Below are 13,067 nucleotides of genomic sequence, written 5' to 3' on the forward strand. Positions count from 1 at the left end.
GGAGGTGGGGGCCGGTGCAGCACCGGGCTGGGGGCGCCGGGGGGCGCATCATCACCACGAATAGCTGTGCTGGCTCCAGGAGAGACCCTGAGGTGCGGCCGCTCGGCGCTTCCAGTAGGGAAGAGCCTGAACTCGCGTGCCCATCTGGGAGCCCCTCTCACGCGGTTAGCCCGGCTGTCTGTCCCAGTCCAAGACACAATCTCACAGTTCCCTGGCCCTACTGACCTTAACCTTCACATTACACAAGCGCCACTTCTCTTGACCCATTTAAATAGTAAAGAGTCAGACATAATGAGGGTGGGATGGAGAGGGGCCTTGTGCTGGAGAAGAGAGCACAGGAAGTATTGAAACGCCTACTCCTGGAAACATCACACTGATGGGGGTCCCTGGACTGACCCGCCAGGCCTGGAGGAAACAGAATTGTGTTTAGGAGTGATCAGAGCAGATATGTGGAGAGCCAGAAGGCCTCTCCGGGGTCCTTGATCCACAGAGCTTAAGCAATCACTGTCCCCATCTTTTTGGAACCCAACCAAGCAGGGTGGGCTTCATGGCTGTGGGACCCTTGCAGATCCACGTTTGGTTTAATGGGCTACTGTGACGGTCTTGAAATTCTTCATAGTTTTTGAACCAGTGGACCTGAATTTTTATTTTGCCCTGAGCCTTCCCAGTTAGGAAATCAGATCTGTGTCCAGAGGGGTTTGCTGGTCTCCAACTGCTGGAGTTCCTTCTGCTGAGAGCAGGGAGAATCTCCTGTCGCAGCCACCCCTCCCCCTGGCAAGGAGGGGCAAATCTAGGAACCCTGGAGGTGCAGCTACTTCTTGGGGAAGAAAGTGAGCTGCCCATTTTGGAGCCAGGGATGTTTAAGCCCCAGGAGAGAAGTCAAGGGGCTGACAGCTGGGGCAATGGGTGGACAGGGCGGGTACAGGCAGCCCCACTGTGGGTGGCAGACTTTGAAAACCATGTGAAACAAAGGGGCTTAAAGGAGAGCTGCGTGGTCAGGGGCTGAGTTTTCCAGTTCAGGATCAGGACTATGGAGGCACAACATGGAGGCCCAGTCCCTTGCTTGCCCAACGTCCAGGGGCCACTAGGACCCCAGTCCTTTTCAGGAGGCAGCCTCGGGGAATCTTCAAGGCCCATGACTAAGTGGGAGAACCCAGACCAGGTCCATGAAAGTCTGATTACAGTCCTAGGTGTGCCCCTAGACACTGGGTGACCTCGGACTAATCACTTTGCCCTTGGGCCTCAGTTTCTTCCATCTGGACGATGAGGAATCGGGAATGGATCATCTCCACGGCTCCCTGCAACCTAACCTAGAGCCAAGCCAAGTATTAGAAGGCCATTAACCCAGAAGAAGAAAAAAATGTCCCAGAAGAGGCTACACTTTATTTTTCTTAAAAAAAAAATGTCTAATTATCAGTAACAGCTACATTTTCTGTGGACAGTGCCTGCTCCTTATCAGTGCCTGCTCCTTATCAATACCTGAGGTTAGAAGAATTGTTTTTGAGCTCGCTCCTTGTAACTTTTCTGTTCTGTAGCTCCCTCAGCATCCGGAACAGAAGGCATAAATCTAGTTATATTTTTAAAAATTAGACTTTGGAGGTCAGTCAGTGAGATCCGCCTTAGCCAGCTGAATTAGGGGAAGGGAAGAGAGGAAGAAAGGACTTGGGAGAAAATAGCATGATTCACAGATTCACAGTCATGACTGTGATCCCTTGGGAATAATTACTTGATTATTCCCACTACTAAGCAAACAAGGTTCAGAAGGTCAAACTTTGAGGAAAGAAAAGTGTAAATTTTGAAAGCGCCATAAATGCATCACCAGATGTTTCATATTCTAAGCAGATCATAGACATTGATTGGTTCAGGACTCACACACTGCTTGATTCCTACCCCATCCCCAGCATCTGCACCCGGTGGTCATCCTGCCCATGTTTGAATGCCACCAATAACAGGGAGCTCACTACCTGCCATGCAACCATTTGTCTAGTAAAGCTGTTGATAAAGTTAGGGCCTTCTTTGGTTGAGTCACAGTCTGGCTCGTGTATGGGCCAATCCGGAGCCCAGTTCTGCCCTCTGGAGCCACACAGAGAAAATCCAGCCTATCTCTCCCATAGTGCCCCTTCTGATATTTGAAGGCAACGTAGTCTGCTTTTCCCAGTGACCTCCAGGCTTGCAGCTCCTTGCCTTGCCGTGGTTTGCAGACTTTTCCCCAGCCCTTTGACATTCTGGACCTCATCTCTCTTGAAACCCTTGGCCCAGCCCTGGACTAGCCAATGCCAGTGGGGAGCCTTGGACCAGCCAATGCCGGAGGGCCTGAGCACACAAAGCAGAACAGGACCACCCCTTCCCTTGCCCTAAACACTCCAAATAAGCTTTATCAGATGCTGAGTCACTGGGCTGATTCATAGAGAATGCATCATCTTCTTGGCAGGTGCTGCTGTTTGATCCTCTGTCTCCCATTATGGACTTACACAGCTGGGTTTGGGGCATTAGCTTGATTTATTTTCTTGGAGAGTCAGAGCCATGGGGAGGGCCAGGGAGGGATGAGTAAAGACCCTTGCATTTATCTGTTTATCTATGCTTTGTGCACCATCTCTGGCTGCCTGAATGTCTCTGGGGCTGCTTCGCTACGCAGTGTCCTTATTACACATCCCCAACCAGCCTTTGTCTGGCTCAGCACCACAAGCAGGACAGCTCAGCCAGCAGTCTGATACAGCTGGAACAAACTAGGAATGGGCAAGAGCAGTATCCTGTGGCCTGTGATTAAGAATCACTCTCAGATGGGCGTGGTGACTCACACCTGTAATCCTAGCACTTTGGGAGGCTGAGGTGGGAGGATCACTTGAGTCCAGGAGTTCAAGACCAGCCAGGGCAACATAGCAAGACCCAGTTTCTACAAAAATTAAAAAATTAGCCAAGCATGGTAGTGCATGCCCGCAATCTCAGCTACTCAGGAAGCTGAGATGGAGTATCGCTTGAGCCCAGGAGGTCAAGGCTGCAGTGAGCTACGATCGCACCACTGCACTCCAGCCTGGGCAATAAAGTGAGACCCTGTCTCTCAAAAATAAAAATGAAAAAAATAAGAGAATCACTCTCCAAGGGGAGCAGGGAGGGAGGATGGTGAGAGATTGGTCAACCAGTACACAGTTAAAGTCAGATGGGAGGGATAAGTTCTGGTATTCTATCGCATAGTAGAGTTTAACTTTTTTTTTAGGTCCCAGTATCTATTGCTCCCCTCTATGTGTCCATGTGTTCTCATCATTCAGCTCCCACTTATAAGTGAAAACATGCAGAATTTTGTTTTCTGTTCCTGTGTTACTTCACTTAGAATAATAGCCTCCAGCTCCATCCATGTTCCTGCAAAAGACATGATCTCGTTCTTTTTTATGGCTGCATAGTATTCCATGGTGTATACCGTAGTATTCCATGGTGTATATATACCATATTTTCCTTATCCAGTCTGCCACTGATGGGCATTTAGGTTGATTCCATGCCTCTGCTATTGAGAATAGTGCTGCAATGAACATATGAGTGCATGTGTCGTTATGGCAGAGCAATTTATATTCCTATATATACCCAGTAATGAGATTGCTGGGTGAAATGTTAATTCTGTTTTTAGCTCTTTCAGGAATCATCACACTGCTTTCCAAAATGGTTGAACTAATTTACACTCCCACCAACAGTGTATATAAGCCTTCCCTTTTATCCACAACCTCACCAGCACCTCTTATTTTTTGAATAATGTATATTTCAACATAGGTAGAAGAGAGAACTTACAATGTTCTCACCACAAAGAAATGTTTGAGATGGATTTGGTAATTACCCTAATTTGATCCTTACACAATGTGTGCACGTATCAAAACATCACATTGTACCCCACAAATATGTACCATTCTCGTGTCAGTTTTAATTTTTTTTAACTTAGTGAAAGGCTGGGTGCAGTGGCTCACGCCTATAATCCCAACACTTCAGGAGGCCGAGGTGGGGAGATCACTAGGTCAAGAGACCATCCTGGCCAACATGGTGAAACCCTGTCTCTACTAAAAATACAAAAATTAGCTGGGCATGGTGGCACGCGCCTGCAGTCCCAGCTACTCGGGAGGCTGAGGCAGGAGAATTGCTTGAACCCGGGAGCTGGAGGTTACAGTGAGCTGAGATCGCACCACTGCACTCCAGCCTGGCAACAGAGTGAGACTCCATCCAAAAACAAACAAACAAACAAACAAAAGGATGGATTTGCTAATTACCCTAATTCGATCATTACACAAACGATCTTAGTAAAAAGATCACAAATGATTCTTAGTAAAAAAGAATCACTTTCCAAGCTGTAATTATTTAATGGGTATATACATTTATTTAATCAATTACAGGCCCATGATCAAATGGTGGCTAATAAAATCATATCCAGTGAAATCAGCCCATAGATGATACAGAGGTATTCTGAGTGATTTTCTCCGGACCTCCGTAAAGTCCAGAAACATTCACTCCATCAGTGGGTGTGTCTCATCTCCCCATTCAGGATCTTCTTGGGTAAAGGTCTGAGGCTAGCCAATCCTGAACTGTTTAGCATGTGCCTACAAGTAAACAAATGTCGCTTATGCCACCTTCACTGTCCCTCATGCTATTGAGTGGCTATGTGTTCTGTATTTCACTCCAGAGTTGCTTTACTGTGACCTTTAGCTCCAATTATTAGGTGAATGAGCCCTTCAAAAAATGGTGCCAGATCTGCTTTAAGTCAAACCTACTTTTTCCACAACTACCCAGATGGCAATTAATACTTATTTTAGATCAATGGTTCTCAGTGGAACTACACAATGGATATACAATGGAATCTCCTGGGAACTTTAAAAATTATCAGTGCCTGAGTCCCACCTCCAGAGGTTATGAATGAATTAATTGTGGGTGCTGCCAGAGCATCAGGATTTTAAAACTCTCCAAATCATTTTAATGAGCACCTAAAGTCGAGGACCACTTCTGAATTTACCCCATCTGTTCCTTACTGCACCTCTCTGTCATTATTAGAGCATCTGATATTGTTCTCATTTTATAGAAGATGTAAAAGAGGGCAAAGGAATCTTGGCAGGGTTTTGTTTACACAGAGCTAAAGTCTGCCTCCTTATAACTTCTTTTTTTTTTGGTTTTGTTTTGTTTTTTAATACGGAGCTCATCCCGTCGCCCAGCCTGGAGTGCAGTGGCATGATCTCGGCTTACTGTGACCTCCTCCTCCTGGGTTCAAGCGACTCTTGTGCCTTAGCCTCCTGAGTAGCTGGGATTGCATGTGTGCACCACCACACCCGGCTAATTTTGTATTTTTAGTAGAGACAGTGTTTCACCATGTTGGCCAGGCTTGTCTTGAACCCCTGACCTCAAGTGATCTGCCCGCCTCTGCCTCCCAAAATGCTAGGATTACAGGTGTGAGTCACCGCGCCTGGCCACCACCTTATAAATTCTTTGTCCCATATCTTATTTCTAAATCAATACATGATAAGTTGGTCCCTCCCACAAGAAAGCCCTTCAAACATTTGAAAACCAATATTGTATCTCAGCTTAAATGTATTTCCTTACAGTGTAATGTCCCTCAACATCCTCGCATAGAGTGGAGTTTCCAGATAACCTCACTCTTCTCATCCCTGCCCCCAAGGATGCCACATTTCTTCATTGTCCCTCTGTGTGGCTTTTACACCAAACACAGGAGAACTGCTTTGACTGGCCAGGGGAGAGTGTGGCAGGGCACTTACTACCTGTGATTTGAGAGGTGTCACTCCCTGTGCTCCCAAGGCACTCTCTGCTTCCTTTTGTATTATATTATACCACACTGTGCTTCTCAGATTGGCTTGAGCTGACTTCTGGGGAGGTTGTACTGTACACAGAGACAAGGAGGCCACTGGCTCTGGTATTACTCAGAGATTCAGGGGGGAAAGTTAATGTTTAGTGAGTAAACTTCCTTTTCCCTTCCCTCCCTCCCTCTGGCTCTCCCTTCCTCCATTCCTTTCTTCCCTCCTTCCTCCCTTCCCTTCTCTTCCCTTCCCTTCCTTTCTCTCTGTCTTATTTTCAATTCCTCACTAAATCTCCGGCTTCTAAAGTTAAGTGGATGTCTATTTATATACATACATATACATGTATTTATATTCAGAATATATGTGTGCGTGTGCGTGTGTGTATATATGTGTGTATGTATATATCTATCTAGATATTGATATCTACAAAATGGATTTTGCCTTTTTATCTTTTCCAAAAAATAAATTCAAAATTATATGATACATATTGCTCTGCTATCTACTCTTTTCCACTTAATAAAATATTATTGATATCTCTCTGAGCTAATGCACAGATAGATCTAACTCATACTTTTTAATAGCTATATAATATTCCATGGTGAGGCTGAACATATTTTCTTCAGCCATTCCCCTTGTCCAAGTTTTTGCTGTCACTCTGAGCAGTGCCACAATAAACAGCCTTCTGCATGCATCCTAATTTGTTAGAGCCTTTATTGCTCTATATGAGGTAGATTGTCCCACTGAGATGCCTGGATGAAAGAGAACATGTATTCCTAATGCTCATATATCTTGCCTGATGACTTTCCCCAAAAGCGTCTGTGGCTTCCACCCTGTCTGAGAATGTCCATTACCATATGATCATCGGGCTGGTGTTGATCCTTTGAATTTTTGCCAATCTTGTGGGTGAAAAATGACATTTTTACCACCTTAATCTCTTTGTATATTTTTTGTTTTCAACTATTTATTTTTAAATAAAATTTCCCCTCTGTCACTTGTCTATCCATATTGTTTGCTCATTTTATCAAGTTATTCATCTTTTTTTCTATCAATTTATAGGTGCTCTTTAAATAGAGAAAGTGACCCTTTGTGTGTTGTCAGTTTTTTTCCAACCAGATTATCATTTTTTTATCTTTGATTACCAAGGACTTTTTGAAGTTTTTATGCAAGTGATTTTTGTTTATCTTTTTCTTTATAGTTTCTAAATCTCATGTCTTGTTTCAGAATGTCTTCCTCTGGCTAGAAGACAGATAGCTATTCTAATTTTCTTCTAACTTTCTATTGTGTCAATTTCTTATTAGATAGGTAATCAAGATGGAATTGATATGTTTATGGTGTATGTGTGTATGACTGTGTGTATGCGTGTGTAAGAGAAGGATGACGTAGGATCTAATTTCATTTTCTTCCAGATGTATAGCCAATTATGTCAACACAATATATCAAATAAATCACCCTAATCACACTGAGTTGAAATACCATTTTTTCACATATAAATTTCCCCAAATAAACTTGGATCTGTATCAGGACTTTCTAGTTTATTCCTCTGATTCCTCTCTTCATGCATAATATACTGTTTTAATAACATAGCTTTAAAAAATATTATTTTATTTATTTATTTTTGAGACAGGGTCTCACTCTGTCACCCAGGCTGGAGTGCAGTGTCATGATCATGGCTCACTGCAGCTTCGACCTCCCTAGCTCAAGCAATCCTCCCATCTCAGCCTCCCAAATAGCTGAGACTATAGGTGCACGCCATCATGCCCAGTTAATTAAAAAAATATATTTTTTTAGAGACAGGATGTCAGTATGTTACCAGGCTGGTCTTGAACTGGCTCAAGAGATCCTCCCTCCTCAGGCTCCCAAAGTGCTGGGATTACAGGCATGAGCCACCACTCCCAGCCGTAACTACATAGCTTAAAAACAATATTTAATATTGAGAAAGTAATCTTCTTCACTCTTCCTTTTCAAATTTTCTTGACTTTTCTTGGACATTAATTCTTCTAGATAAACTTTAAATTAATTTTGCCCCATTGAAAAAACATGGCATTAGGCCTGGTGCATTGGCTCATGCCTGTAATCACAGCAATCTGGGAGGCTGAGGCAAGAGGATCACTTGAGATCAGGAGTTCAAGACCAGCCTGGGCAACATAGCGATAACCCCATCTCTACAAAAAATAAATTAAAAAAAATGAGCCGGGCATGGTGATGTATGCCTGTGGTCCTAGCTAGTTAAGAAGCTGAGGCAGGAGGATTTCTTGACCCCAGGAATTTAAGCCTGCAGTGAGCTATTACAGCACCACTGCACTCCAGCCTGGGCAACAGAGTGCGACACTGTCTCTAAAAAGAAAAAAATAATTAAAAGAAAAAAGAAAAAACATGGCACTGCAATTATAATTGCTTTAAATTTACATATTAGTTTTAGAAGAATTCACATTTCTATTCTTTCTTCCTGTGTAGGACAATAACATATGTCTAGAGTTAATTCAAACTATTATTTTTATTTGTAAATGCATTTTTATACAAATTAAAAATATCAGCTCCTACCCTCAATTCAGTAAAACCATTATTATTGAATATTAAAATATATATTTTTTCATTGTGGTATGGCGTGTAACTCTTATATAGTTTTAAAAAATAAAATGAAAGACTTCAAAGATATGTTTGCTACTTCTTTTCCATCATCATGGCAATGGAAAAATTAAAGAAATCCTGATTAAGCATTTTATATTGAAATTTATCAGATGATTGTTCACACCTTTTTCTGTCATTCAGCATTCAGCTCCTGTCTTAGTCTGTTTTTTGTTGCTTATAATAGAATATAGCAAACTGGGTAATAAATAAAGAATGAGAATTTATTTTTTACAATTATGGAAGAGGAGAAGTCCAAGGTTGAGGGGCTGCATCTGGTGAGGGCCTTCTTGCTGGTGGGGACTCTCTGCAGAGTCCCAAGGCAGTGCAGGGCATCACATGGTGAGGGGGCTGAGTGTGCCAGCTCAGGTTTCTCTTCCTCTTCTTATAAAGCCATCAGTCCCACTCCCATGATAACTCATTCATCCATTACCCCACTAATCCATTAATCCATGAATGGATTAATCCATTTATGAGAGCAGAGACCTCATGACCCAGTCACTTGGTAAAAGTCCCACCTCTCAACACTGCCACATTGAGGATTAAGTTTCAATGTGAATTCTGGAGGGGACAAATATTCAAACCATAGCACCTCCCATTCTTTAAGACACAGTTTAGCATGCAGTAGGTGCTTAATACATGCTTGTTAAATTACCTGAAATAACTTTTCCATTATTGCAATCTAAGATCCTATTTATTTTTGATTCATATCAAAGCTATACTATCCATGTGGATAGGAAACATATCTCTGGCTCATAGCACCTGGCTACACAATCAAAATACATTAATTTAATAAATGAACAAGAGCCATGCATGACCAAATATCAACTAGATCTTCTTCTCTGAATTACTAAGCTTCATCCTTTAGTGAAAATGATGTGACACTAAATGTGGGGTTTTAATTTATCTCTCTTGAATTTTATCTTATCAGTGCACTATAGCTCTCTGTCAGGATTGCTCTGAATTTTGTTCTTCCAGTTTTGAGTGAGAAACAAACAGGTAAGCTGGACTTCTGGGTCTCCATCCAGAGCATGGATAGAAATGTCCATCAGCACCCTTGTTATCATGTTAAAAGCCCAACCTGCTGCAGGGCTCCCATAAGGACATTTCTGTGTACCAAATGCTTTGGAGAATACCTTCCCCAAAGCAGTCCCATCCCTCCAGCTCTGATCCTCCTATTTTAATATGTCTAATTCCTCAACACCTGAAGACAGAGATGTTTCCAGTCCTACTTGCAGTAACCTAAAATTGCAGGACTTCCTGCAGGGATCCCTTTTCATTCTCCAGTGGATCATTCAATTAAAAGAAGCTTGCCCTTCTTACATATCCTCAAGCCTCTTTCTTTTTTCATCTATATCCAGCCCCGAATGAAGTCAGCCACTTTCATGCTGAATTTATAATTGATTCAGATGAAGAACCTAGGTAGTTTTTCTTTGCTAAGATGTTATTATATTAATCTGGAAGGGTTAAGCTCTGAAATATCTTTTGTATTAAGCTACTTTTCTCAGAACTGTATCCTTACAGAGTTCATGAAATAAGGTTCATGAACCTAATTAATGAGCCTAATTAATACCTAAGGTTCATAGGTATTAACTTGACCCTATTAAGCCCTCTTTGAAGATTTATCAGGCTACAAGAGGCCATGTTATATAGCATCACCCACTGGTTTAAGAGTGGTATTGCAATACACCTCTTGGCCATTATAATACTCAAAAATTCCAGTATTGGTAAATGTACAGTGAGGCAAGAATCCATAGACATGGGAGATACCATAGGGGAAGTTCTGGGAGGAAGTAAAAAAAGAAAGGAGACTCTTGAATTGTGAAAATATCACATAGTTCAGAGAATGGCCTTTAAAAAATCAATTTAACACTTATCCGGAGAAGTCTTCAATTGAGTATGTTGAAGGACTTTTTTTTTTTTTCAGGGCATTCTATTTCTTATTGTAAATTGAAGTCAATATTAGAACTAAACTGAAGTTTTCACTTTATAGCCAACTTTGCTGGAACACAGTTATGACATTCCCTTGACTAGTCCTCTGTGTCCTCTCAAAAATATTTTGCTCTTTAACTTCCAAAGGATTGATTTTTGTGGGAGAAACCAAGGCAGCAACACTGCATGAAGCTCCAATTCATGACATTAGAAAGTTCATTAGGGAGAAAAGGTAAAAATTCTGCAGAGGTCTGGGTTGGAGAGGGGTTCGTTAATGAGTTACTGTTCACCAACATCTTTGTTTCCCTTTTCTTCATGGTAACAGAGATAAGGGATTTTTTTCCCAGCCCCCTTAACCTCTAGTTGGAGCCATATGACTGAGCTAAGGTCAATGGAACAAACGTACCTGATAGCAATTGTGTGACTCCTCCAGGCCTGTCCCATGATTTTCTCCACTGCACACTCCTCCTATCTCTCTCCTTTCTAGCAAATCTTGTAGGCTACATATTGAAGATGGCAGCATCACAAGATGGAAGGACACTGGATCCTTGAGTCAACATTTATAAGACAGACACCAACTTGCCATGGATAGTGATATGAATGAGAAGTAAATGATTATTGTGCTGTCACTAAAATCTCAGTTATTTGTCAGAGCCAGGCATGACCATGTATGGTACTACTTGCTCTAACAACTCTAGAAATGGATAGCTTGAAATGACATGCTGCCATACTAAAAATGGAAATATGGAAATATTGCATAGCAAGTGAGGATCCTGACATTAGGAGGCTGAAGATGATAATTGGTCTTACGATAATTGGTAAACTGGGCCTATGATATTGAGGATAGCAGGCCCCATGCTATCTACTACTGAGTCAGCATGGCTAGGGGCATCTGTTAGAAAGAAGCAAAGTAGTGGTGTGTGTTCTCTGCTAGTGTCTGTATTTAACAAAGGAACACAAGGAAGAGAAAAGTGAAATAATTGACTGCTTTGCAAAGAGAAGTAAATTGGAACAAAGTCCAGAAAATTTAAGCCTAAAGGGAAGGAAAACACCAACTGCCTCTAGATCCCAGATAATAGAAGTAAATTGCAAAACTTTCCAGCAGCCAAGGCCCGCTTAGACCTAGCCAGGTGGGATGATTAGATTAAGGATGTGGCTTTTCCAGTCAACCCTTGTAGCATCAAGGTAGCTGACTGCCCTTAGGGAGAGAGGCCTGGGGGAGAGGAAACAAATTAAAACAGTAGGTTTGGAAACTACAGCTAGGAAAAAACTCTGGGTGTGGTCACTGGCCCATGGAATGGACTAGAAGCAAATAGATGAGATTTTGCTAAATGTTGAGGGACTATCATTGCCCAAAACCCCTACAGGTCCAGACCTTCACCAGTACCTTTGAGGTAGGAGGTGGGACTTGACTTTAGAGATGGGGCTTGAACACCAGATCAAATTGAGGACTAGCTAAAACAGGGGCATGGCAGGAGGAACTTTCCATAAGACATGCCCGTCAGTATGTCATGTCAATTTACCACTGTCAGGCCAACACCCAGAAGTTACCACCCCTTTCCATGCAACGACCTGCAACCCAGAAGTCACCATCCTTTTCCTAGAAATGTCTGTATAAACCACCCCTTAATTTGCATATAATTAAAAGTGGGTATAAATATGACTGCAGAACTGCCTCTGAGCTGCTAACCTGGGCACACTGCCTATGGGGTAGCCCTGCTCTGCAAGGAGCCATCCCTCTGTTGCCAATGTGCACTGCCACTTCAATACAAGTTGCTGTCTAACACCACCGGCTCTCCCTTGATTCTTTCCTAGGTGAAGCCAACAACCCTCCCAGGCTAAGCCCCAGTTTGGGGGCTCGCCAGTCCTGTGTCACCCTGACTCAGGGAGCTAAAAAACAACCTTGCTCCAAGAAGAAGTGGGCTGTGAGAAATGAACAGCCCTCAGGAATGGCTCATTCCCCAGCATCCACTTTAGATGTGCACAAAGAGCGTGGTACACCAGGAAGCACCTTCCAAAGGGCATGTCTAAGGTGTCATGGACAAGAGAATTCTTCCAGAGATCTGCATCAGGGCCTAAACAAATAATTTTCCCCACCCCAGGGTTAGAGATCTTTACAACATCTGAGGGATCTCAACATTTCTGTAGACCAGTAGCAACTCTGTGTCTTTCATTATTCCATTTTCTAAATGGGCATTTTGATTGTGATTATCAGATCCATATTCCTCCCATTTTATATGGGAGCTACAGGCTGACCTGATGAATAAGGATCACACAGAGAACCTGGACTTTGAGCTCAGTGCAATGACCAGATGGGACTTTGAGTTCCCTCCATGGTGAGGGGTGAATGTGTTTTATGTGTGAAAACAACGGAGCAAACAGGTATTTGGAGACCAGGAAGGCGAACTATGTGGAGAATGCCGGTACCCCCTGATCTGTGTTTCTTCTCTCCTTCCAGGGCATATGGCTGCCTCTATTTTAAAGCCCTCTTGCTGTTAGGTTGAGCCCAGTTTAGTGGGCTCTGGCCAATGGAATGTCAGTAAGAGTGTTGTATCCCACTTCCAGCCCAGCCCGTAAAATTCTCCTATGCATGATCCTCCATTCTCTCTTCCATTTTGCAGCCACCTTAGGGGCCATTTGTTACAGATAATGGTATTACAAGATGGAAGAACCCTGTGTCCCTGAGTCATCATTTGGAAGAGAACTGCCTAACCCATATTGAATTGCAATGTG

The 13,067-nt window shown here is 42.8% G+C and overlaps 3 annotated features.

Moving 5' to 3' along the window:
- Nucleotides 21-110: a silencer, noted in NCBI's record as "silent region_19050". NCBI's record gives its function as "represses an Ori minimal core promoter by ATAC-STARR-seq in GM12878 lymphoblastoid cells {active_cell/tissue: GM12878}" and the evidence as "EXISTENCE:reporter gene assay evidence [ECO:0000049][PMID:35858748]".
- Nucleotides 955-1,455: an enhancer, noted in NCBI's record as "H3K4me1 hESC enhancer chr8:27473305-27473805 (GRCh37/hg19 assembly coordinates)". NCBI's record gives its function as "activates a minimal SCP1, AML or CMV promoter by ChIP-STARR-seq in naive H9 embryonic stem cells {active_cell/tissue: H9 hESC(naive)}" and the evidence as "EXISTENCE:reporter gene assay evidence [ECO:0000049][PMID:30033119]".
- Nucleotides 1,746-2,502: an enhancer, noted in NCBI's record as "H3K27ac-H3K4me1 hESC enhancer chr8:27474096-27474852 (GRCh37/hg19 assembly coordinates)". NCBI's record gives its function as "activates a minimal SCP1, AML or CMV promoter by ChIP-STARR-seq in primed H9 embryonic stem cells {active_cell/tissue: H9 hESC(primed)}" and the evidence as "EXISTENCE:reporter gene assay evidence [ECO:0000049][PMID:30033119]".

This window comes from Homo sapiens, chromosome 8 (genome assembly GCF_000001405.40).
Source record: "Homo sapiens chromosome 8, GRCh38.p14 Primary Assembly".
Taxonomy (NCBI): domain Eukaryota; kingdom Metazoa; phylum Chordata; class Mammalia; order Primates; family Hominidae; genus Homo; species Homo sapiens.